Source organism: Homo sapiens, chromosome 8 (genome assembly GCF_000001405.40).
Source record: "Homo sapiens chromosome 8, GRCh38.p14 Primary Assembly".
NCBI classification, from domain to species: Eukaryota; Metazoa; Chordata; class Mammalia; order Primates; family Hominidae; genus Homo; species Homo sapiens.
In genome coordinates, this window is record NC_000008.11 from 116,305,666 (window position 1) to 116,330,524 (window position 24,859).

The 24,859-nt window shown below is 38.8% G+C and overlaps 1 long non-coding RNA gene across 1 annotated transcript in view; it reads right to left on the bottom strand.

Annotated features, from left to right (window-relative positions):
* Positions 1–19,394, bottom strand: part of LINC00536 (long intergenic non-protein coding RNA 536) — a 374,549-nt gene extending 355,155 nt beyond the window's left edge. Inside the window, exon 1 of the long non-coding RNA NR_046215.1 lies at positions 19,165–19,394. This is a non-coding gene — a long non-coding RNA (long intergenic non-protein coding RNA 536). The remainder of the gene's footprint in view (positions 1–19,164) is intronic.
* Between the last annotated feature and the right edge of the window lie 5,465 nt (positions 19,395–24,859).

Sequence of the window (24,859 nt, forward strand, 5' to 3'; positions counted from 1 at the left end):
TCTGGCAAGTTGAGGATAATCACCATGTTAGTCTAATATCACGCTGCTATAAAGAACTACCCAAGACCAGGTAATTTATAAAGGAAAGAGGTTGAATTGACTCACATTTCTACATGGCTTGGAAGGGCGCGGGAAACTTACAATCATGGCAGAAGGTGAAGAAGGCACATCTTACATGGCGGCAGGTGAGAGACAGTGTGTACAGGAAAAACTACCATTTATAAAACCATCAGAACTCATGAGAATTCACTCACTATCATGAGAACAGCATGGGGGAAACCGCCCCAATAATCCAATCACTTCCCTCCCTAGACACATGGGGATTACAATTCTGGATAAGATTTGGGTGGGGACACAGAGCCAAACAATATCAGTCACTGAAGGCTTAAAGTATTTATTTCAGCTATACATGTTATTGTAGTATTATGCAAACATTAGAGATTTTTGTCAAATTTGGAAAGACTACTTTCTCATTTCTTTCGTAGATGAGCTGTAAGATTTAGGAGCATTTCAAGTTTTCTGTGACTAATCATAGTTACAGAGGTGATTAGTGACTAATTTAAATGACTAATCTTAAATACTCTTTGAATCAGCAAAACTCATTAAGCAGTTTGTTGTTGATGTTCTACTTGAGAATGGTGTGTTAGGAGTTTTATTTTCATCTTGTGAAACAACAAGAAATTTAAATATTTTACGAATATGTTTATATGATCTTCTCCTCTTCATTAACTGGATTATCAAGCAATCAATGAACTGTCAGTTTCAGTCATCTCTTGGTAATTGGAACCAGGACCCCCCTCAGATACCAAAATCTGGGTGCTCCAGTCCCTCATATAAAATGGCATAGTGTTTGCCTACAATCTACACACATCCTCCTGTATACTTTAAATTGTCTCTGGATTACTTATCATACATAATACAATGTAAATGCTATGCAACTAATTGTTATACCACATTGTTTTATTTTTATTATATTGTATTGTTGTATTAATTTTTGTTTTTTTGTTTTTTTGTTTTGTTGTTTTTGTTTTTGTTTTTGTTTTTTTTTTTTGAGACAGAGTCCCGCTCTTTAGCCCAGGCCGGATTGCAGTGGCACAATCTCGGCTCACTGCAAGCTCCGCCTCCCAGGTTCACGCCATTCTCCTGCCTCAGCCTCCCGAGTAGCTGGGAGTACAGGTGCCCGCCACCGCGCCCGGCTAATTTTTTGTATTTTTAGTAGAGACGGGGTTTCACCATGTTAGCCAAGATGGTCTCGATCTCCTGACCTTGTGATCCGCCCGCCTCGGCCTCCCAAAGTGCTGGGATTACAGGCGTGAGCCACCGCGCCCAGCCTGTTGTATTAATTTTTATTGTTGGTTTTTCTCCCTGAATATTTTTGATCTGTGATTGGTAAATCTGTGGATGCAAAACCCACAGATAAAAGGATTGACTGTACTTCTCAAAATTTATCTCTTCCTCTTAATGAATTAGTGAAATTTGAAAATTTGGGGGTTACATAATTCACTTCTGAATGTTTTATATCTTTGTTTTATATCTCATTACTTCCCAATCTATATTTCTTTGGCTCTCCAGTAAATGTAAAGATTATCAAGTAAGTTCACTTTCTTTGTTTAATGGAACTGTTCCATAGCATCTTTGCAAATCATAGTTACAATGATATATGGCTGACTCACCTCACCCTTGACAGGATCCCAAAAATACCCACAGCCACTCCACTATCACCCCACCCAAGTGGAAGCATGGGTGGGTAGCAGAGTCAGAATAGAAAGGAACAGCTGTCTTAACAGTTAGCAGCTAAAATGTCTTGTTTTTGCAAATATCACGAAGACATATGACCCATGAATACATCACTAAGGCTCTTCTCCTAGCCTAAGAAGAGGTCTATGTAAGCAAGGGACCTTTCATTAGCTTCAAGATAAACCCATCCAGGCCACCACCACCTCTCAGCTGGGCTATTTTAGTAGCTTCCTAACTGCTTTCTGTGTTTTCACCCTTACTTATTCTCCTATAATTTACTTCCATGCAGCACCCTGAGAGACGTTTAAATATGTAAATTAATTTATGTCACTCTCCTGCTTAAAACCTTTCAGTGACTTTCCATTGCATATATTACACTAGCCAAACTCCTTATTACCAAATACTTGTCCTGCAATCTAGATGCTGCCTAGCTCATAGACTCATCTCATATCTCCTCAAAGCACCCCCATTGCTCACATGCTGTTGTTACACTGGCCTTGTTCTCATGCTTAAGTGCTCTACTACCCCAGTGAAAATTATGCAACAGTGTTTCAGGAACAATAAAGCACTATATCCACGTGAACTATGACTATTATCAGAGTCAGGAATAGAATGCCTGTGACTAAAATGGCTGAGGAAGAAAAGTTGTAGATTTTGATTCTTGCCAAAGTTTCTTACTACTATAAACACTGTTCTGAACCTCCACAAATGGAACTGCTGAAAATACAGGTCCAAGTCTTACAGCCATATAGCAAGTCACCATATGTGTGCATATGGTACACGTGTATATATACAATATGTGTAAGCAAATGGAAAGGGTATTTAGCTATAGTAGCTTGCCTACATTACAGATATTTTATCAAATTACAGTCTACATTTAGCAATCTAGTTAGTAATTAAAATACAACGTATGGCACCGTGCTACTTAAAGTGAAATAGCAATACAAAGTTTTGAGATTTTAGTCAATGATTTCTAATAATCCTCCTTTATCAGAAAGAGTCAATGTTTTTCAACATTATCTAGTATTAATGTGGCTGCTCTCCCCAGTTGAGAGATGAAAAGATTGAAGAATAAAGAGCTGGTTCAGGTCATGTGTAATCAATAGAGTGGCCAAAAAAGGTCTTGTTGTTCCTGGTCTTGAGAGTATTTGTTCCCTTGCCACACTGGATTTATTTCCTGAAGACAGCAACATCAAGTATTTTTCAGCAACATAAAACCCAACTCAAAGACACACATGAAAATTTGGTGACCAGATGAATATAGAGAATTGATAACAATGAAGAAAAAAATGCAGAAGACCACACAGGTGGGAGATTATTATAACTCCAGAAAGATGAAGAATCTGGGGTTTACAGGGGAGCACAAACTTTGAAAATGTCCATAATAACTTTCATTTTTATATATCACACATGACAGGCTTCTCATTGTTCAAATATGGTCTCTACAACATTAAATCACTTAGCATTGTCTAATAATTATTTCTTTAGATGATTTACCACTTTTACAGTACTGGATTTTGCACAAGTTCTGCTTTCTCTCTCTGAATTTCAAGGCTCAGCTCATCTTTGTATTCAGTGACTTCCACAGTCTGATCCAAACTTAGGTATTGCCTGACTTAAACTTCCCCTAAACAAATATTATTTGTATGTCAAATAAGTTTCATATAGTTCCCTTTATAGGTCATGATTATTCTACTTTTCATTGCTCAAATGTTCACTGAAATCCTTTCTATTACCTCTGTTGATCCAAGTCCACTTTCCTTCCAAGATGATGTCAAATCCTTTTCCACAATGTCACTGCTTAGAAATGCCTATAGCTATATCCGCATGATTTTTTATTGTAAAGTATACATTTCCATCTGTCTAAGATGTTTTATTGCCATAATACTGTAAACTTCATTAGAATGGGGACTTTTAAAATACTCTATAGTGTCTAGTATTAAACTAAGCACATAATAGGCACCTGTTAAATATGAATTTATCCTCTTAGCAAAGTTAAACCACTACATTTCTATTAATATTTTTCTAACTTTAGACATTATTGTATTCCACTGAAGTCTCTAGAGTCAGACTGCAAGATTTAGAATCACATTTAGCCCTTTCATTTTCTGGCTTTGTTACCATAGATGAGCTACTTTATTTTTCTGGGTTTTGATTTTCTCAACTACAAAAGGATGATAATAAGAGTAGCTATGTTGCAAGGTTAGTGTCAGGATTAAATGATGGTGCTTAACATAATACCTGGCACATTGTAGTTTTCAATAAATAACATCTGTTGTTATTATTACTACTATCTGTTCCTTATTCTAAACACACATCATTCATGCTTATATGCACTCTCCCAATTAAACATCATTCTTATATTTTTGAATATTTATTTGAAGTTTTACATATGTTTGCCACTTTATTCTTATTAGCGTTACTTCTTATCTATCACATCTCCTTCTAGGATCATGTTCCTTTTTCCTGCAGAGCATATGGTAGACACGGAAGTTCCCAAAGTGTGATACAGAGAACTTGCGGGTGCTTGAGACCTTACCAATGGATCCGTGAGGTCAAAACCATTTTCATAAGAACACAAAAAATTATCTGCCTTTTCCCTTCTTACTCTCTTCATGAAGTCTTCCAGAAGTGCATGGCATAGGATATCAAAAGAGATTGAGTGTAAACAAGATATGTGAATTACACTGTCTACTACTAAGACAGAAATTAAAGCTATTTTATTAAAATGTAAAACTATGTCATTCTCACTATTTTTAAAAAATATATAATTTTCATAAAAATGTTGCATTTAAATTAACACATAATAGGTTTACTATTATTTTAAATGAATTGATAAATATTATTTTTAATTTCTCAGTTTTAAAACTTTATATGTAGGCCGGGTGCGGTGGCTTATGCCTGTAATCCTAACACTTTGAGAGGCCAACACAGGTATATCACTAGAGCCCAGGAGTTCAAGACCAGCCTGGGCAATGTAGTGAAACCCCATCTCTGCCCATGAAAATACAAAAATTAGCCAAATGTGGTGGCATGCACCTGTAGTCTCAGCTAATCAGGAGGCTGAGGGGAAGGATCACCTGAGCCCAGGGAGGTCAAGGCTGCAGTGAGCTATGATCACGCCACTGCACTCCAGTCTGGGTGACAGAGAGAGACCCTGTCTCAAAAAGATAAACAATAAATAAAAAATACATAAATAAATAAAACTTCATATAGTAAATATTGATAGCTACAACTCACATAAACAAAAGTTCTTTAGGCCCCTCAATAATTTTGAAGTGCATGAAAAGGGCTGAAGACCAAAACATTTGGGAAGCCCTACTTTAAAGTTTTCTGCAAACCATGGTTTTGGTGGACTTTGGTAGTAAATTTAGTTTTAACTTTAATTTTTCTGAAAATATCTTAATTTTGCCCTCACTCATGGATGACAGTTGTGCTAAGTATAAAATTAAGCTGAGAGTTATTGTTTCCTCTCAACTCTTTGAAGACAGTATTCCATTGTCTTTTTACTTCTGTTACCGCTGTTGACAAGGATGCTGTCATTTGACTTCCTGTTTTAGTTTAATTGCTCTTTTTTTCTGGTTGCTTTCAAGTTGTTTTTTTTCCTTCTTCTTCAACATTCTGTAATCTCAGAAAAATGTGTCTAGGCATGAATTTCGTTTTTATTTATTCTGCTTAGGATACATTATGGGTTCAAAATCTGAGGATTTATGGGTTTTTTTCATCAGTTCTGGAGAATTCACATCCATTATCACTACTCTTCCATTCTCTATGTCAGACTTTTTCATTCTAGCCTTGATCTAATAAGCTACTTAACAATCTTTTGGGTTTTATTTTTTATGATTTCAACAATGTTTTTTATATTTAGAATTTTTCACTTTTCATTTTAATGTGTTTTTTCTAACAAATTTTTGTTGATTAGCAAACTCTTTGCATTTTAACATCTTTGTTACATATAGAGTTGGTACATATAATACTCTACATAATATACTATATGTCTACACTATGTCTGAAAAACTCAAGTATCTTAGGAGCCTAAATATGTTATCCATCAGTTCAAGAAATCTAAATCAGAGTGGCTGCCTCATACATTTGAAGATCTTTGATTGTGAGCTCATTTCTTCATCTTAATTGTATAATTCCTGTACCTCATTGGGAACCAGGGAAACTTTTCTGCAGGAAAGATTTGCTCCTGCAAATAACCAGGGGATGCAACTGACCCAGGTCTACTATATCTCTGGTGAGTGTCTCAGCTCATCCTGGGAGATCCAAGCTCCCTCATTATTTATCCTGATGCCTGGAAAGTCACCATCAGAAAATTTTACCTAAAGATTATGAAACCATGTATACTTTCAATAAGTCTCTGTTAAAAAGCAAATGAGTTCAAGAGGGATACTACTCTTGAGTTATGAGGTGCCTTCCAATAAAGGAACAGTAGACAGATTAATAAGAGCAATGTCCTACAAAACTGCTTAGAGCTGAATTTTCAGAGGACATTTCTGCAGGTTCATAATAGTAAAAACTAAAGATCTTTTATATCTATATAGAATGAAGATGACAAATTAATGTCACCTCACATGCCAAATCCAACCAAGTGGCAGTGGTGTACAGAGTGCTATATTAAGGAGTCTGTTGTCTTCTTTGGGCCCAGCAGAAACAAGTGCCATAAAAACTTGGTAATGTAATAAGAGCACTCCTACGTACCAGGCACTGCTCTAATTACTTTGCATGCATCAATTAATTAAATCCACACAATAATCTTATTCTCAGTTTTTATTTTACATTTACAGTTGAGAAGATGGACTCTGGTTAAATAACTTGCCTGAAGCCATGCAGCAAGTAAATGGTGGATCTAAGTGCTGAACATGGAAAGTCCAGCTTTAAGGCTGTCTGCATAATCATTACACAATAGTGCCCCATAAATTAGAGCAGATAAACAGAGTGAAAGGGACAAATCATTCCTCTCTGTGCATACAATGGTGCAAAACTAGGATCTTTACATGTTTTATCTTCAGATAAAATGAGAACTGGAGCCTGTTTCTTATGTTATCTGGTGGTCTCTACTGGTCTAACATCTGGATCAGAAATACAAGGTTCTTCAAATGACTTAGAAATCATTTAGGAAGGCCCCATGCCATGACTGTTGATGGTGACCATTGAGATCAGGTTAATTGCTGGTGCCACTTGCTTTTAACAAAAAGAATTTTCACACAATCAGCAAATAATCAAATAACAGAGGGATCCCCAACTCCTGGGCTGCAGACCAGTACCAGTCCATGGTCTGTTAGGAACCAGGCCACACAGCAGGAGTTGAGTGGCAGGTGAGTGAGCATTACTGCCTGAGCTCCACCTCCTGTCAGATCAGCAGTGGCATTAGATTCTATAGGAGCATGAACCCTCTTGTAATGTGCACATGCAAGGGATCTAAGTTGCATGCAACTTATGAGAATCTAATGACTGATGATCTGAGATGGAACAGTTTTGTCCTGAAACAACCCCCACCCACCACGACCATTGTCTTCCACAAAACCCATCCCTGGTGCCAAAAAGTTGGAGACCACTGATACAACATACAACAATTAGTACTGAGTGGATCTTCCTGAGAAAATGTTTCCAGTAGAACATTCATCTGGGATCCAAGGTTAAAAATGCACCAGATGTGCCTACAGAACACTTCTTAGAATATTTGTGACATTTTTTGGTTTACAATTATTCCTATGCCTCAGACTATACAGTCCTCACAGCTAACTTTATAGCACATTCATAACTGCATCCATAGCCTGGTTATATGCCTGACTACTGGTTTCTTCTTCATTATTGTGTATGTAATGAATGAATGCATGGACTGTTAATGTTTAGCCTAAAACCAGAGAACAGTCTGCACATTAATGCAGACTGTGTTTCTATCCTAAGCTTCTCATTGTGCTATCAACACTTCTGGCTCTTAAGAAAGAGTAAAATGAGACATACTCACAGACACTCTCTCTCTCTCTCTCTCTCTCTCTCTCTCTCTCTCTCTCTCTCTCTCAGTTTGGCTGATTTGACTTAGCAGAATTATTAAAACTCATCCCACAGACCCCATTTTAGATTTTTAACTGTAAAGACAAGATGACTCTCGGATAAAATTTTCTCCATTTCGGAACTATTTCCATTTGCAATTTATATTTGATTTTGAAATACGTAAAACAGGCATAATTTTTGTCTTAAAATGTATAAATAGGTGGAAGAATATATTTATCTTGTTTTTATTTTTTAAAGAGCTCAGTACTATTAAAGCATTCAAAGGAAAACTTACAAATGAAGAAATACACACATATCTCTGAGTTCCCAGGACCACAAAAAGCAACCACTTGTTTCGCTGATGTTACACATTATGTTTCTAGGATCACGTGTGATGTGTTTCCCACACTTACAGCACCTCTATATGTCTCCCATAAAGTTACGTATAAGGTGTTTTGCTAACTGTAGGATACATATTTGTATCTTTTTATATGCATTCATATTATTTATTCATAGATTCCTCAGATAATAAATTGGCAAGCGTTTTATTTTCCTCATTCTTATAGGTTTGCATTATAGTATGTTCCCCTTTGGCAAAGGTTTCATAATTACAGATCCTCAAAGGTGTAATCAGAATATATGTGTGTATGTGTGTGTGTGTGTGTGTGTGTGTGTACACAGTCAGGCATTGCTTAACAACAGGAATGCATTCTGAGAAATGAGTCGTTAGGCAATTTTGTCATTGTGCAAACATCATAGGGTGTACTTATACAAACCTGTATTGTATACCCTGCTACAAACCTAGGCCGTATGGTATAGCCTATTGCTCCTGTATTAGTCCATTCTCATGCTGCTGATAAAGACATATCCAGACTGGGTAATTTATAAAGGAAATTATAAATTTCCTTTATAATTATAAAGGAAATTATAAATTCATTGACTCACAGTTCAGCATGGCTGGGGAGGCCTCAGGAAACTTAAAATCATGGCAGAAGGGGAATCAAACACGTTCTTCTTTTTTGATAGAAGCGAAGAGAAGTGCCGAGCAAAAGGAGGAAAAGCCCCTTATAAAATCATCAGATCTCGTGAGAACTCACTCACTATCATGAGGACAGCATGAAGGTAACCACCGCCATGTTCAATTACCTCCTACCAAGTCCCTCCCACTACATGTGGGGATTATGGGAACAACAATTCGAGATGAGATTTGGGTGGGGACACAGCCAAACCATATAATTCTGCCTGTGACCCCCTCCTAAATCTTACCTCCTCACATTTCAAAACATAATTATGCCTTCCCAACAGTCCCCCAGAGTCTTAACTCATTCCAGCATTAACTCAAAAGTCCAAGTCCAAAGTCTCATCTGAGACAAGGCAAGTCCCTTCCACTAGAAGCCTGTAAAATCAAAAGCAAGTTAGTTACTTCCTAGATACAATGGGAGTACACCATTCCAAATGGGATAAATTGGCCAAAACAAAGGGGCTAGAGGCCCATGCAAGTCCAAAATCCAATAGGGCAGTCATTAAATCTTAGAGTTCCTAAACGATCTCCTTTGACTCCATGTCTCCCAGGTCACACTGATACAAGAGGTGTATGTACGGCCTTGGGCAGCTCCACACATGTGGCTTTGCAGGATACAGCCTCCCTCCCAGCTGCTTTCACTAGCTGGCGTGAAGCGTCTGTGGCTTTTCCAGGTGCATGGTGTAAGCTGTCAGTGGATCTACCATTCTGGTGTCTGGAGGATGGTGGCCCTCTTCTCACAGCTCTACTAGGCAGTGCCTCAGTGGAGACTCTGTGTGGGGGCTCCAGTCTCACATTTCCCTTCTACACTGCCCCAGCAGAGGCTCTCCATGAGGCTTCTGCCTCTGCAGCACACCTCTGCCTGGACATCCAGGCGTTTCCATACATCCTCTGAAATCTAGGCAGAGGCTCCCAAACCTTAATTCTTGTCTTCTGCACACCCACAGGACCAACACCGTGTGGAAGCTGCCAATGCTTGTGGCTTGCACCCTCTGAAGCCATGGCCTGAGTTGTACCTTTGCCCCTTTTAGTCACGGCTGGAGTGGCTGAGACACAGGGCACCAAGTCCCTAGGCTGCACACAGCAGGGGCAGCCTGGAACCAGCCAAGGAAACCATTTTTTCCTCCTAGGCCAGGCTTGTGATGGGAGGGGCTGCTCTGAAGGTCTCTGACATGCCCTAGAGACATATTCTTCATCGTCTTGGCAATTAGCATTTGGCTCCTTGTTGCTTATGCAAATTCCTGCAGCTGGCTTAAATTTCTCCCCAGAAAATGGGTTTTTCTTTTCTACTGCATCATCAGGCTGCAAAATTTTCAAACTTGTATGCTCTGCTTCCCTTTTAAATATAAGTTCCAGTTTCAGATAATCTCTCTCAAGTTCAAAGTTCCACAAATCTCTAGGGCAGGAGCAAAATGCTGCCAGTCTCTTTGCATAGATAGAGTGACTTTTACTCCAGTTCCCAAGAAGTTCCCCATCTGCATCTGAGACCACGTCAACCTGGACCTAATATTGTCCATATTACCATTGCCATTTTGGACAAAGCTATTCAACAAGTCTCTAGGAAATTCTAAATCTTCCCACAGTTTTCTATCTTCTTCTGAGCCCTCCAAATGGTTCCAATCTCTGCCTCTTAGCCAGTTCCAAAGTCACTTCCACATATTTGGGTATCTTTACAGCAGTACCCCTCTCCTGGTACCAATTTACTGTATTAGTCTGTTCTCACACTGCAAATAAAGATATACCCAAGACTGGGTAATTTATAAAGGAAAGAGGTTTAATTGACTCATGGTTCCACAGGGCTGGGGAGGCCTCAGGAAACTTATAATCATGGCAGAAGGGGAAGCAAACACATCCTTCTTCACATGGCAGAAGAAAGGGGATGAATGAGTGCCCAGTGAAGGAGGTAGCCCCTTACAACACCATCAGATCTCATGAGAACTCACTATCACCAGAACAGCAAGGAGGTAACAGCCCCCATAATTAAATTACTACCTCCCACTGGGTCCCTCCCACTACAGGTGGGGATTATGTGAACTACAATTCAAGATGAGATTTGGGTGGAGACACAGCCAAATGATATCAGCTCCTCAGCTACAAACCTGTACAGCATGCTACTGTCCTGAATACCGTAGGCAATTTAACACAATACTAAATATTTGTGTATCTGAACACAGGAAAGGCACAGTAAAAATACAGTTTTAAAAACTTACAGGACCACTGTCATATATGCAGTCTGTTGTCAACCAAAACATTATGTAGCACATTACTGTATATAATTTTTTCCATCTTTACATCACTTGGGAACATACAATATAATTCAACTATCCATTCACAATAAAATTAGTGAGTTGGATAAAAATTGTGTGGATAATGAATGAAAATCTTAGTTAATAAAAAAAGCAAATATTTCTAAAAGTGTTATGTACATTTCCTGCCTTCTACAACAGATTCCTGTGGACATCATTTAATCATTTTTTGGTAAATTTAGGATAAAGGTTGCTTATTCCGCATTTTTATAGGACACTTATAACCAAATTTATTCATTCAACAAATGCCTATTGATTGTTTAGTATGTTCAAATGATAAAGTTAGGCTCTGGGCTACAAACGTTATTTTTAAAAAAAAGGATTCTTTTCTGTCTCAACCATCTCAATAGTCTGGCAGGGAACAAAGTAATGTGTCCCCAGTTAGTTGTAATAATAAATGCAATAGCTTTGGTAGGCCAAGATGGCCCATTGGAAGCAGCTGCAGTCTGAAGCGCTCACAGAGAAGAAAAAAAATGATGAGTAAATTCTACATCTTCAGCTGAGGTATCCAGGTTCTCACTTTGGGACTGACTAGGCAGTCAACACAGCACATGGAGAGTCAGGAAAAGCAGAGTGGGGTGACAGCCCATCTACGAGCAGCACAGAACCAGGAGAACCCCTACCCCCAGCTAAGGGAGGAGGTGAGTAATTTTATGACCCAACCTGGGGAAACCACACTTCTCCCACAGATCCTTGCAACTCATGGAGCAGGAGATCTTCTTGCAAGCCCATGCCACCAGGGCCTTGGGTCTGAAGCACAGAGCTGTGCAACCAAATACCAGATACTGGCAAACCAAATCCAGCAGCACATCAAAAAGGTTATCCACTACAGTCAAGTAGTCTTCATCCTCAGGATGCAAGGCTGGTTCAACATATGCAAATCAATAAACATAATGTATCACATAAACAGAACTAAAGACAAAAGCCACATGATCATCGCAATAGATACAGAAAAGGCCTTTGATAAAATTCAACATCCCTTCATGTTAAAAACTCTCAATAAACTAGGTATTGAAGAAATACGCCTCAAAATAATAGGAGCCATTTATGACAAACCCACAGCCAGTATCATACTGAATGGGCAAAAGCTAGAAGCATTGTCTTTGAAAAATGGCACAAGACACGGATGCCCTCTCTCACTACTCCTATTCAACATAGTATTGGAAGTCCTGGCCAAGGCAATCAGACAAGAGAAAAAAATAAAGCATATTCTAATAGGAAGACAGGAAGTCAAATTGTCTTTGTTTGCAGATGACATGATCCTATATCTAGAAAACCACATCATCTCATCCCAAAAGCTTCTTAACCTAATAAGAAACTTCAGCAAAATCACAAGATATAAAATCAATGTGCAAAAATCACAAGCATTCCTATACACCTACAACAGACAAGAAGAGAACCAAATCATGAATGAACTTCCATTCACAGTTGCTACAAAGAGAATAAAATACCCAGGAATACAGCTAATAAGGGAAGTGAAGGACCTCTTCAAGGAGAACTACAAACCACTGCTCAATGAAATCAGAGAGGACACAAACAAATGGAAAAACATTCCATGCTCATGGAAGAATCAATATTGTGAAAATGACCCTACTGCCCCAAGCAATTTATAGATTCAATGCTATTCCCATTAAACTACCATTGACATTCTCCACAGAATTAGAAAAAACTATTTTAAAATCCTTATGGAATCAAAAGAGCACAGATAACCAAGACAATCCTAAGCAAAAAGAACAAAGCTGGAGACCGTATAGCCGAGACAATCCTAAGCAAAAGAAGAAAGCCACTACCCAACTTCAAACTATACTACAAGGCTACAGTAATGGTAGTGGTACAAAAACAGAACAAAGACCAATAGAATAGAATAGAGAACTCAGAAATAAGACCACACAGGTACAACCGTCTGATTTTCAACAAATCTGACAAAAACAAGCAATAGGGAAAAGATTCCCTATTTAATAAGTGGTGCTGGGAGAACTGGCCAGCCATATGCAGAAAATTGAAACTGGACCCCTTCCTTACACCTTATACAAAAATTAACTCAAGATGGATTAGGACTTATTTGTAAAACCCCAAACTATAAAAACCCTAGAAGAAAATCCGGATAATACCATTCAGGACATAGGCACAGGCAAAGATTTAATGATGAAACCACTAAAAGCAATTGCAACAAAAGCAAAAATTGACAATGAGATCTAATTAAACTAAAAAGCTGCTGCACAGCAAAATAAACTATCATCAGAGTGAACAAACACTCTACAAAATGGGAGAACATTTTTGCAATCTGTCCATCTGACAAAGGTCTAATATCCAGAATTTACAAGGAACTTAAACAAATTTACAAGAATAAAATAAACAACCCCATTAAAAAGTGGGCAAAGGACATGAACAGACACTTCTCAAAAGAAGACATTCATGTGGCCAACAAATATGAAAAAAAGCTCAACACCACTTACCATTAGAGCAATGCAAATTAAAGCCACAACGAGATACCATCTCATGACAGTCAGAATGGCAATTATTAAAAAGTCAAGAAACAACAGATGCTGGCAAGGTTGCAGTGAAAAAGAAAAGAAACGCTTTTACACTGTTGGTGGTTATGTAAATTAGTTCAACCATTGTGGAAGACAGCGTGGCAATGCCTCAAAAATCTAGAAGCAGAAATACCATTTGATCCAGCAAACCTATTACTGGGTATATACCCAGAGGAATATAAATCATTCTATTATAAAGATACATGCACACATATGTTTATTGCAGCACATTTCACAATAGCAAAGACATGGAATAAACCCAAATGTTCATCAACAGTAGACTGGATAAAGAAAATGTGGTACACATACACCCTGGAAGACTATGCAGCCATAAAAGGGAACAAGATCATGCCCTCTGCAGGGACATGGATGGAGTTGCAAGCTGTTATCCTCAGCAAATTAATGTGCAGGAACAGAAAACCAAATACCGTATGTTCTCACTTATAAGTCAGATCTGAACAACGAGAACACATGGACACATGGGGGAGAGCAACACACACTGGGGCCTGTCCACAGGGGCGGGGGAAGGGAGAGCATCAGGAAGAACAGCTAATGGGTCCTGTGCTTAATACCTGGGTGATGGGTTGATCTGTGCAGCAAACCACCGTGACATTTGTTTACCTATGTAACAAACCTGCACATCCTGTGCATGTACCATGGAACTTAAAATCAGAGTTGATAAAAATAATAATAACAATAATTAATGCAATCAATCACACATTAAAGAAAAATTTTTAAGGAGGTGATATTTTGCCACGTAGCCTGGTCATCAAAAAACAAAAATATTCTAGCAGATATAAAAGAGGATTAAGATACCCTAGGCAGGGAATAGAACACACAGCTGAAGCATAAATTTGAAGAGATGATAAGGAGATGTGCTAAGCGGGAGAAACAGTAAAGACACAATATGAATAATGGTTAGTATCATGAATTTGGAATCAGATCAACCTGATTTCAAATCCCAATTCCACCACCTAACTTCACACTTAAGTAGGTTTTACCTTTTTGAACTTGTTCATCTGTAGTTGTTGTGAAAATTAGATAATGAATGTTAAACATGTAGCTTAGGTCCTAACACCCAGTGGAGAATACTTGAAGTTGTTGTTATTGATATTATCATTCATGTTGCTATTATTAGAAATGACTCACATTAATGTCTTCAAGGATACGTCTCTAAAGGCAGTGTCCCTAAGGCATGCTTCCTCATGTAGTACCCTTGAACCAACAGCAACTCTCTTCCCCCTCGTCCATCTACCACCATCACAATGGGCCCCACTAGCAATGCCCATTATGCCTGAACGTTTCTGATTCCATATCTTGGTAAAATATTTCCCCAACTCCTACTTTTTCAGAGCTCTACTTTCTAAGAAAGAGTGATAAAATTAGAAAAAAAAGACAACCTTATCTGTGCTAAAATAAAAATAAACTTCAGTTGAGTGTTCCTACCCTTGCAGGATGTTTCTATGCACTTTAAATATGCTCTTACTGAAATGATGTCTTAGGCAAAGAATTCACTGTAATGGTGAGAATCTCAAATGCAACGGCAGGCCTGAGGGAGAAATTTCCACACAAACATTTCGGACCCCTCTAATGAATTATGAGTAGGTGGCTTCCTCTACCAACATGAAGAGCCATCCCTGCAGAAAACATTGCAGCTGGGTTCCAGTTTTGCATTCCATACATTTCCATTAACGTGGGTGGAAGATTTCACGGTACTATCTAGTTTATTCTTAGCATGTGTGGTCATGCATTATTCAGCATTATGAGACATCTATTTGAATAATAAGGTTAAAACTATTTTTAAGGCCATGGCTAACAAAGCTCTAAATATTATTAAAAGATGGAGCAGATGAAGCCATGAATACTCACAATAAACAAGTAATAAAGTGAAGAAATTTTTATAAGGGAGCTAAGAGGAATCCAACCGGTTCCCCCAATCTGTGAAACTCCAAACCTCACTGTGCCTGAAGACCTTGGAGAGACCCAGTTGATGCCAACTCATTTTTCTGCAGAACCAGTGGGTGTACTCTCTGCCCACACCAGATTTTTCAGTAGCAACATTTCCAAACAAACTACTAGTTTTCTAGGATCAGATAAAGTTACAAGCATCCATAAATAAGAACTTCTTAATATAATTATGAGTCTTGCTTTGGAGGGAGGAAGGGATGCAATGGAGTGATCATCAGCTGGGTCATTAAAATAATTCAGTTGCAAGTTGCTTGACTGAGGACTCCCTACTCCACAACTTCTACAAAGTAAATCTGGGCTAGAAGGTGATTGGTTAATAATGTGATCAGTGTGGCTGGCTGTCTCTAGGTGCTTTGATAAAATGTATTTGTGCTGAAGACACTATTTATTATAAGTCACATAAGGGTGTGGTGTTTCAATGTTTCCATGTTTAGCAATTATAAACTGAACCTATTAAGTGCTTTTTAACCAACCCAGAAAGCAGACAAACTTAAAATAAGCCCAGACTACATGCTCTCTATAGATACCCTTTTTTTCTGGTCATGATTTTGCAGCTAAAGTGTCTTCAATCCCTCTTGCCATCGACACCTTATAATCTTTATATGGAAATCTTAAGCAAAAATAAATACTAAACTTGATAACCTCTGCTTCAAATAGAAGATAGTGGTATTGAGATAAAAGAAGCAAACTGTTAATACAAGTAAAATTAAATCTGTCCAGGAACCTTTATTTTAGAAAGATTGGTATTCAAATCTTGATTCCTTGTGTTGAAACAGATGGGCTTAACAGGATAATTCCTACAGTATATCACTTAAAAATTCACACTATTTATGCGAAGGATTTATGTTTCCAGAGTACCAGTAAAATGCCTTTGCTCTTCTTTTCCCACATGTCCTTGAACATTTCAACCACTTTTGTGGTCTCAACTATCACCCCAAGGTGAATTAGTTCTATATTCACATTTCCTTTTGCACTTGCTTTAGTTTAACAGCGTTTCTGCCTACTGGTTCTGCCAGCTGTGTCTCTCCCATTAACCTCAAGCTCAAGCTGGTTGAAATGATTCATCCCCTTATCCAATAATTCAGAGAAACTTCTGGGCTCCTAATTGTTCTCAATAAAAATCTCCATGTCTGGAATCACAGAGACACAGAATTGCAAAGTCACCCTTCCTTTTCCTTTTTCCTCTTTCTCTACAGCAGAGGTTCTCAACTTCTGCTTTATGGATATTTTGAGTCTGAAAATTCTTTGTCTGGGGAAAGGAAGGCTAGAGTCGCTCTGTGTATTTTACAGTGTTTGGCAGTATCCCTGGCTTCTACTTACTTGTTGCCAGTGGCTGTATCCACTCCCCAGGTTATAACAACCAAATATCTCCAGACATTGTCAAATATTCCTGGGGGGGTAAAATCACTCCCCACCTCCAGTCACTTAGTTGCCTAATAGCCAAGTGAATTTTCCCTATTCTTCTCTTGTAGCTTCTTCACATGAGTCCTTGCTATCTCATTACTGTGCCAGCCCCCGGGGAGAACAATCAGTGTGTGCTGTCTTTTTGCAGTACATTTTAGTGATGTAATAGGCAGTGTGTACCAAGACATGCCAAACTCAAAAACCAATAACCAATATGGGAGAAAGAAATTCAGAAAAGAAATCTTGGAAATATTTCTGGTAACTCAGAAGTCCTGAATAGATTTTTTTTAATTGGAGTCTGAGGATTTTAATGTTGACTTCATCTCTAGAAATTTAAAATCATGATTTGGGATAGAAAGGACCAAATAAGAAGCCACTATTTAGCCATTGTTTATGTGAGTTAATTATTTAAACAATCTTAAAATGTGAAGCTCTTTATAGCAAAGAATGTAAGTATGCACAGTAGAAAGAACACGGTTTTAGGATATTATTAAGGTAGTGAATCCCACCTTTGATAATGTGCTAGTGAAAGATAAGAATATATAACTCTACCAGACTTGTTCTAAGGACTAGAATAGTGAATTACTGTTTCTATATTCCATCTTTTACCAGAACAAACTTGAGATAATTCAAAATGTCACATGCTTGGCACATAGCAGGTGTTCAATAAATGTAAACTAAAAATAACATTAATATTTCATACTGAGCCTGTTACAATGACTTTAAAATGAAATTAGATGTGATCCTGTGACTGTTCCATGAGGAATCACATTAGACAAAAACAATACTGCTGAGAAAGCAGTCAGAATTTCCTGGGGGGTGTAGGGAGAAACAAGAATAGGCTTGGAGTCAAACAGTAGGTCCTCCTAGGTCCATAGACTACTATAAATTAATGATGATAATAAACTGACTTGAAATTCAGCATCAAAAGTTTACTAGCACCCCAAAGATCTTAACTGATAATCACATTAACCCTCTTATGAAAAATAGATTACAATAATTATACTAGATCTTTGAGAATCCACCTGAGTGACCTTTCTATTACATATGCAACAAAGACCAAGAAAAAAGGTCCAGAGAAGCAGAAAACATGCTTGCAAGTGTGGTGTCACACAATCCAAGAAAGGAAATGCCTCAAATAGTACGAATAGTCATCAGGACCAAGTGATGCTGAATGATTAAATAAGCAAAAAATTCAAAGTGCCCTGCTGGGCTGAGAGTCATGGAAATCATTCATAAGAGCAAGTAGAATTGCTGGTTAACACAAGCAATTTCAGTGGGATGGTAACAGTGGACACCAGATTTCAGTGTTCTGAGAAAAGAATGAGAGGGAACCAAGGAGAGATTGTAAGTGTACATGACACTCAAATGAGTTTGGCAGTGAAAGACAAAAGTGAGTTGGAAGGTGCTGTAGAATGAAGGGAGGTTTTCCTGGAAGTTCAGAAAAACTCACTCACATTTAAATACTTAAGAGAAGAAGCATGTTGAAGTTACGTGAATAAGAAGAGCACAATAGAATACAATTCCAGGAGAGGTAAAAAGATAGGTGATCTAGAAGAATGGTGGCGACATTAGGCTTTGATGATACAATGAAGAGGATGGATTTATCATTCACAGTAGCAAGTGGGAAGGAGAAGAGGATGGGGACCTGGCCACTGAATCAATCCTGGCCACTGAATCAATCACAGGACATTGAAGGAGTTCCAATCTGATGGCTTCTATTTTATTCCTGAAGAAGTTTTTCTCTCACTCATTCCTCTGACTTGTAAATTAAATAGGATTTTTTTCTTTTATCCATTTTCCATTTGGAGAAACAGGGACAAAAATGGTCAATGGTTAAATAACTTTGGTTGTATGTATCCCTTTTGATAATCCATGATTCTTCTTTTAATCTGTGAATCCACCCATAATCCACAGGTACATACACACTGAGAAGTATGCACACAAAACAGTTTCTAAGCTGTGCTCTGATTCGTTAATAGTTTCTCAAGTTGGTAAAATTTATATTTGAGTTACAAATGGGTAAAATATCTACTCAAATAACATGTGATTTTAGTGCGGCAGTATTGAAGCCAACGTCTCATGTAAAGATTTAGGGCTTTTTCATCAAGACACTGTATTGGAAAATCGCCTGCTAAGAATGTGGTCATTACCGTACATTTTGTGTGCAAAGCAAAGGCGGTTGATACTGTACCTTGGCGAAGCTGCCTTAACCACCTTTGTCGCTGCCCAGGTGTTTCCCATGCCTGTGGCAGACTTAGAAGGTGGAGGAGTGGAGCCTGCCAGACCAGTTGCAAAGTGCAGAACATGCCTCAGGGCCTCCATTCACAATCCAATTTGCCTTAGCGCCTGTGCCCAGCCTTAGCACTGGAAGGCTGACCTTTCGACACAGGTAAGTTCAGCAACAATCACTTGGCCACAGCCACAGATTCTGCCTGGTGCCAGGAATTCTATGGTCTCTTGGGTGACGGCCACTTGGCAGCAATTTTCAGAGTTCTGCTCTGGCACAGAATAAGGCTGTGCATGTGTGTGTGTGTGTGTGTGTGTGTGTGTGTGTGTGTGTATGTGTGTCTTTTCCATAGTTAACATTCAACACTTGCTGGAAGGGAGAGTGAAAAAAGATATAGAGTTGGAATAAAAACACCGGTGTATCTCTCTTCTCTCTTTCTAGCCTATTGTCATAACACTCTGGCTCTGCTCTGACTTCAGTGACAGTGAAAAGCAAAATGGAGGAAAGGGAAAAGGAAGATGGGAGAAAGATAAAAGGAAGAAAGAAGACGGAGAATTCTGAAACTTGGAGGCAAGAGAGGGCAGAAGATGAAACGCTGAGTTAAAATATTATCCTGGAATAAGCCCCACATGTCTTTGGGTAGAATGTCAATTCACCCCTTCTGTCTCTACTTTCTTCCAATTCAAACCTTGGGCACACTGAAGTGGACACACAAGAAAAGTCTTTTGTTATCATTTTTACACCTTCCATATTTGTGGTCTTTGAATTCCTCTAATAAATTTCCCTCTATCAGTGGAATAGCAAAACTTTTCATGATGCTTCTTAAAGTATTTTTAAGTCAGGTCTACACAACACAAAGATAATTGCTTGGTTAATATTACCAGTTGGACAGATAAGTAGATAACTCAAGCCAAAAGTATTTCTTTGCCTGATGACCAAAAATCCACTTCACACTGAGCTGAAGGGGAAAAAAAGAGGCAAATATTAATAACAGTCAAGGGCATATACTTTGTTATGAAAGACGTTCCTTTCTCATATAATTTCCAAATGTGATTCTGTAGTAAACAACACATCTAATATGAATAATTGAAATGATTTTCCTTGTGGAAGCAAGCTCCTCTGTTCTTTTTTATATTATGGAACTACACCTGGAATTGGTTTCAAGGGAAAGTGAATCAGTTTAACTGCCTCAGCCAAACCTAGAGGGCCCCTTGCTCTCATCTGGGCTGGGAAAGAACTCAAAGTAGCATCTAATGATGATTTTAGTGCAATATCTGGCACATAGTGAATGGTCTTTAAATATTAGCTGTTTTTATCCAATCAGGAGAAAAAACCAGAACTAAACAATATGGAGAGCTTACACATTTAGAAAAAAGAAAGAAAGAAAGAAAGAGGAACAAAAGAAATACTAATGGTTCTTTGTGAGTATGAGCAATTTTAAAGACATTAATAAACTGGTGGAAATGGAATCTAAATTCTAAGCAACTCAAGAGTAATAAATGTGATGTAGGATAATAGAGGAAAGTGTAGACTACCCTTGAGTTAGGCAGTACAAAGATGTAAGAAGATGATAATACATTCATATCATCAGGGCTTAGAGTCTATCAGGAGACCAAATAATTACCCTTCAGAATACATTTATTCTTGATATCCCAAGATGGCCGAATAGGAACAGCTCCAGTCTACAGCTCCCAGCATGAGCAATGCAGAAGACGGGTGATTTCTGCATTTCCAACTGAGGCACCAGGTTCTTCTCACTGGGACTGGTTGGACAGTGGGTGCAGCTCATGGAATGTGAGCTGAAGAAGGGCAGGGCATCACCTTGCCCGGGAAGTGCAAGGGGTTGGGGAATTCTCTTTCCTAGCCAAGGGAAGCCATGACGGACGGTACCTAGAAAATCGGGACACTCCACCCCAATACTGTGCTTTTCCAATGGTCTTAGCAAATGGCACACCAGGAGATTATATCCCACACATGGCTTGGCGGGTCCCATGCCCATGGAGCCTTACTCACTGCTAGCACAGCAGTCCGAAATAGAACTGCGAGGCAGCAGCAAGGCTGGGGGAGGGGTGTCCCCTATTGCTGAGACTTCAGTAGGTAAACAAAGCAGCCTGGAAGCTCGAACTGGGTGGAGCCCACCGCAGCTCAACAAGGCCTGCCTGCCTCTGTAGACTCCACCTCCAGGGGCAGGGCATAGCTGGACAAAAGGCAGCAGAAACTTCTGCAGACTTAAAGGTCCCTGTCTGACAGCTTTGAAGAGAGCAGTGGATCTCCCAGCACAGAGTTTGAGATCTGAGAACAGACAGACTGCCTTCTTAAGTGGGTCCCTGATGCCCCCTAACTGGGAGACACCTCCCAGTAGGGGCCAACTGACACCTCATACAGCCAGGTGCCCCTCTGAGACTAAGCTTCCAGAGGAAGGATCAGGCAGTGACATTTGCTGTTCTGCAATATTTGCTGTTCTGCAGCCTCCGCTGGTGATACCCAGACAAACAGGGTCTGGAGTGGACCTCCAGCAAACTCCAACAGACCTGCAGCTGAGGGTTCTGACTGTTAGAAGGAAAACTAACAAACAGAAAGGAATAGCATCAACATCAACAAAAAGGAGATCCACACCAAAACCCCATCTGTAGGTCACCATCATCAAAGACCAAAAGTAGATAAAACCACAAAGATGGGGAGAAACCAGAGCAGAAGAGCTGAAAATTCTAAAAACCAGAGTGCCTCTTCTCCTCCAAAGGATCACAGCTCCTCACCAGAGATGGAACAAAGCTGGACAGAGAATGACTTTGACAAGTTGACAGAAGTAGACTTCAGGAGATCGGTAATAACAAGCTCCTCGGAGCTAAAGGAGGATGTTTGAACCCATCGCAAGGAAGCTAAAAACCTTGAAAAAAGATTAGACAAATGGCTAACTAGAATAAACAGCATAGAGAAGACCTTAAATGACCTGATGGAGCTGAAAACCATGGCACAAGAACTACGTGATGCATGAACAAGCTTCAGTAGCCTATTTGATCAAGTGGAAGAAAGAGTATCAGTGATTGAAGATCAAATGAATGAAATGAAGAGAGATGACAAGGTTAGAGAAAAAAGAGTAAAAAGAAATGAACAAAGCCTCCAAGAAATATGGGACTATGTGAAAAGACCAAATCTACATTTGATTGGTGTAACTGAAAGGACGGGGAAAATGGAACCAAGTTGGGAAACACTCTTCAGGATATTATCCAGGAGAACTTCCACAACCCAGCAAGACAGGCCAACATTCAAATTCAGGAAATACAGAGAATGCCACAAAGATACTCCTTCAGAAGAGCAACCCCAAGACACACAATTGTTAGATTCACCAAAGTTGAAATGAAGGAAAAAATGTTAAGGGCAGCTAGAGAGAAAGGTCGGGTTACCCACAAAGGGAAGCCCATCAGACTAACAGTGGATCTCTCAGCAGAAACTCTACAAGCCAGAAGAGACTGGGACACAATACTGAACATTCTTAAAGAAGAAGATTTTCAACCCAGAATTTCATATCCACCCAAACTAAGCTTCATAAGTGAAGGAGAAATAAAATCCTTTACAGACAACCAAATGTAGACAGATTTTGTCACCACCAGGCCTGCCTTACAAGAGCTCCTGAAGGAAGCACTAAACATGGAAAGGAACAACCAGTACCAGCCACTGCAAACACGTGCCAAATTGTAAAGATCATCAATGCTAGGAAGAAACTGCATCAACTAATGAGCAAAATAACCAACTAACATCATAATGACAGGCTCAAATTCACACATAACAATATTAACCTTAAATGTAAATGGGCTAAATGCCCCAATTAAAAGACACAGACTGGGAAACTGGATAAAGGGTCAAGACACATCAGTGTGCTGTATTCAGGAGACCCATCTCACGTGCAGAGACACATATAGGCTCAAAATAAAGGGATGGAGGAAGATCTACCAAGCAAATGGAAAACAAAAAAAAAAGCAGGGGTTGCAATCCTAGTCTCTGATAAAACAGACTTTAAGCCAACAAAGATCAAAAGAGACAATGAAGGCCATTACATAATGGTAAAGGAATCAACTCAACAAGAAGAGCTAACTATCCTAAATATATGTACCCAATACAGGAGCACCCAGATTCATAAAGCAAGTCCTTAGAGACTTATAAAGAGACTTAGACTCTGACACAATAATAATGGGAGATTTTAACACCTCACTGTCAACATTAGACAGATCAAGAAGACAGAAAGTTAACAAGGATATCCAGGACTTGAACTCAGCTCTGCACCAAGTGGACCTAATAGACATCTATAGAACTCTCCACCCCAAGTTAACAGAATATACATTCTTCTCAGAACCACATCGCACTTATTCCAAAATGTACCACATAGTTGGAAGTAAAGCACTCCTCAGCAAATGTAAAAGAGCAGAAATTGTAACAAACTGTCCCTCAGACCACAGTGCAATCAAACTAGAACTCAGGATTAAGAAACTCACTCAAAACTGCACAACTACATGGAAACTGAACAACCTGCTCTTGAATGACTACTGGATAAATAACCAAATGAAGGTGGAAATAAAGATGTTCTTTGAAACCAATGAGAAAAAAGACACAACATACCAGAATCTCTGGGACACATTTAAAGCAGTGTGTAGTGGGAAATTTATAGCACTAAATGCCCACAAGAGAAAGCAGGAAAGATCTACAATCAACACCCTAACATCACAATTAAAAGAACAAGAGAAGCAAGAGCAAACCAATTTAAAAGCTTGCAGAAGGCAAGAAATAACTAAGATCAAAGCAGAACTGAAGGAGACAGAGACACAAAAAACCCTTCAAAAAATCAATTAATCCAGAAGTTGGTTTTTTGAAAAGATCAACAAAATAGATAGACTGCTAGCAAGACTAATAAAGAAGAAAAGAGAGAAGAATCAAATAGATGCAATAAAAAATGATAAAGGGGATATCACCACTGATCCCACAGAAATACAAACTACTGTCAGAGAATACTATAAACACCTCTATGCAAATAAACTAGAAAATCTAGAAGAAACGGATAAATTCCTGGACACATACACCCTCCCAAGACTAAAACAGGAAGAACTTGAATCCCTGAATAGAACAATAACAGGCTCTGAAATTGAGGCAATAATAGCCTACCAACCAAAAAAAGTGCAGGACCAGAAGGATTCACAGCTAAACTCTACCAGAGGTACCAATAGGAGCTGGTACCATTCCTTCTGAAACTATTCTAATCAACAGAAAAAGAGGGAATCCTCCCTAACTCATTTTATGAGGCCAGCATCATCCTGATACCAAAGCCTGGCAGAGACACAACAAAAAAAGAGAATTTTAGACCAATATCCCTGATGAACATCGATGCAAAAATCCTCAATAAAATACTGGCAAACTGAAGCCTGCAGCACATCAAAAAGCTTATCCACCATGATCAAGTGGGCTTCATCCCTGAGATGCAAGGCTGGTTCAACATATGCAAATCAATAAACATAATCCAACATATAAACAGAACCAAAGACAAAAACCACATGATTATCTCAATAGATGCAGAAAAGGCCTTTGACAAAATTCAACAGCCCTTCATGCTAAAAACTCTCTATAAATTAGGTATTGATGGGACGTATCTCCAAATAATAAGAACTACTTA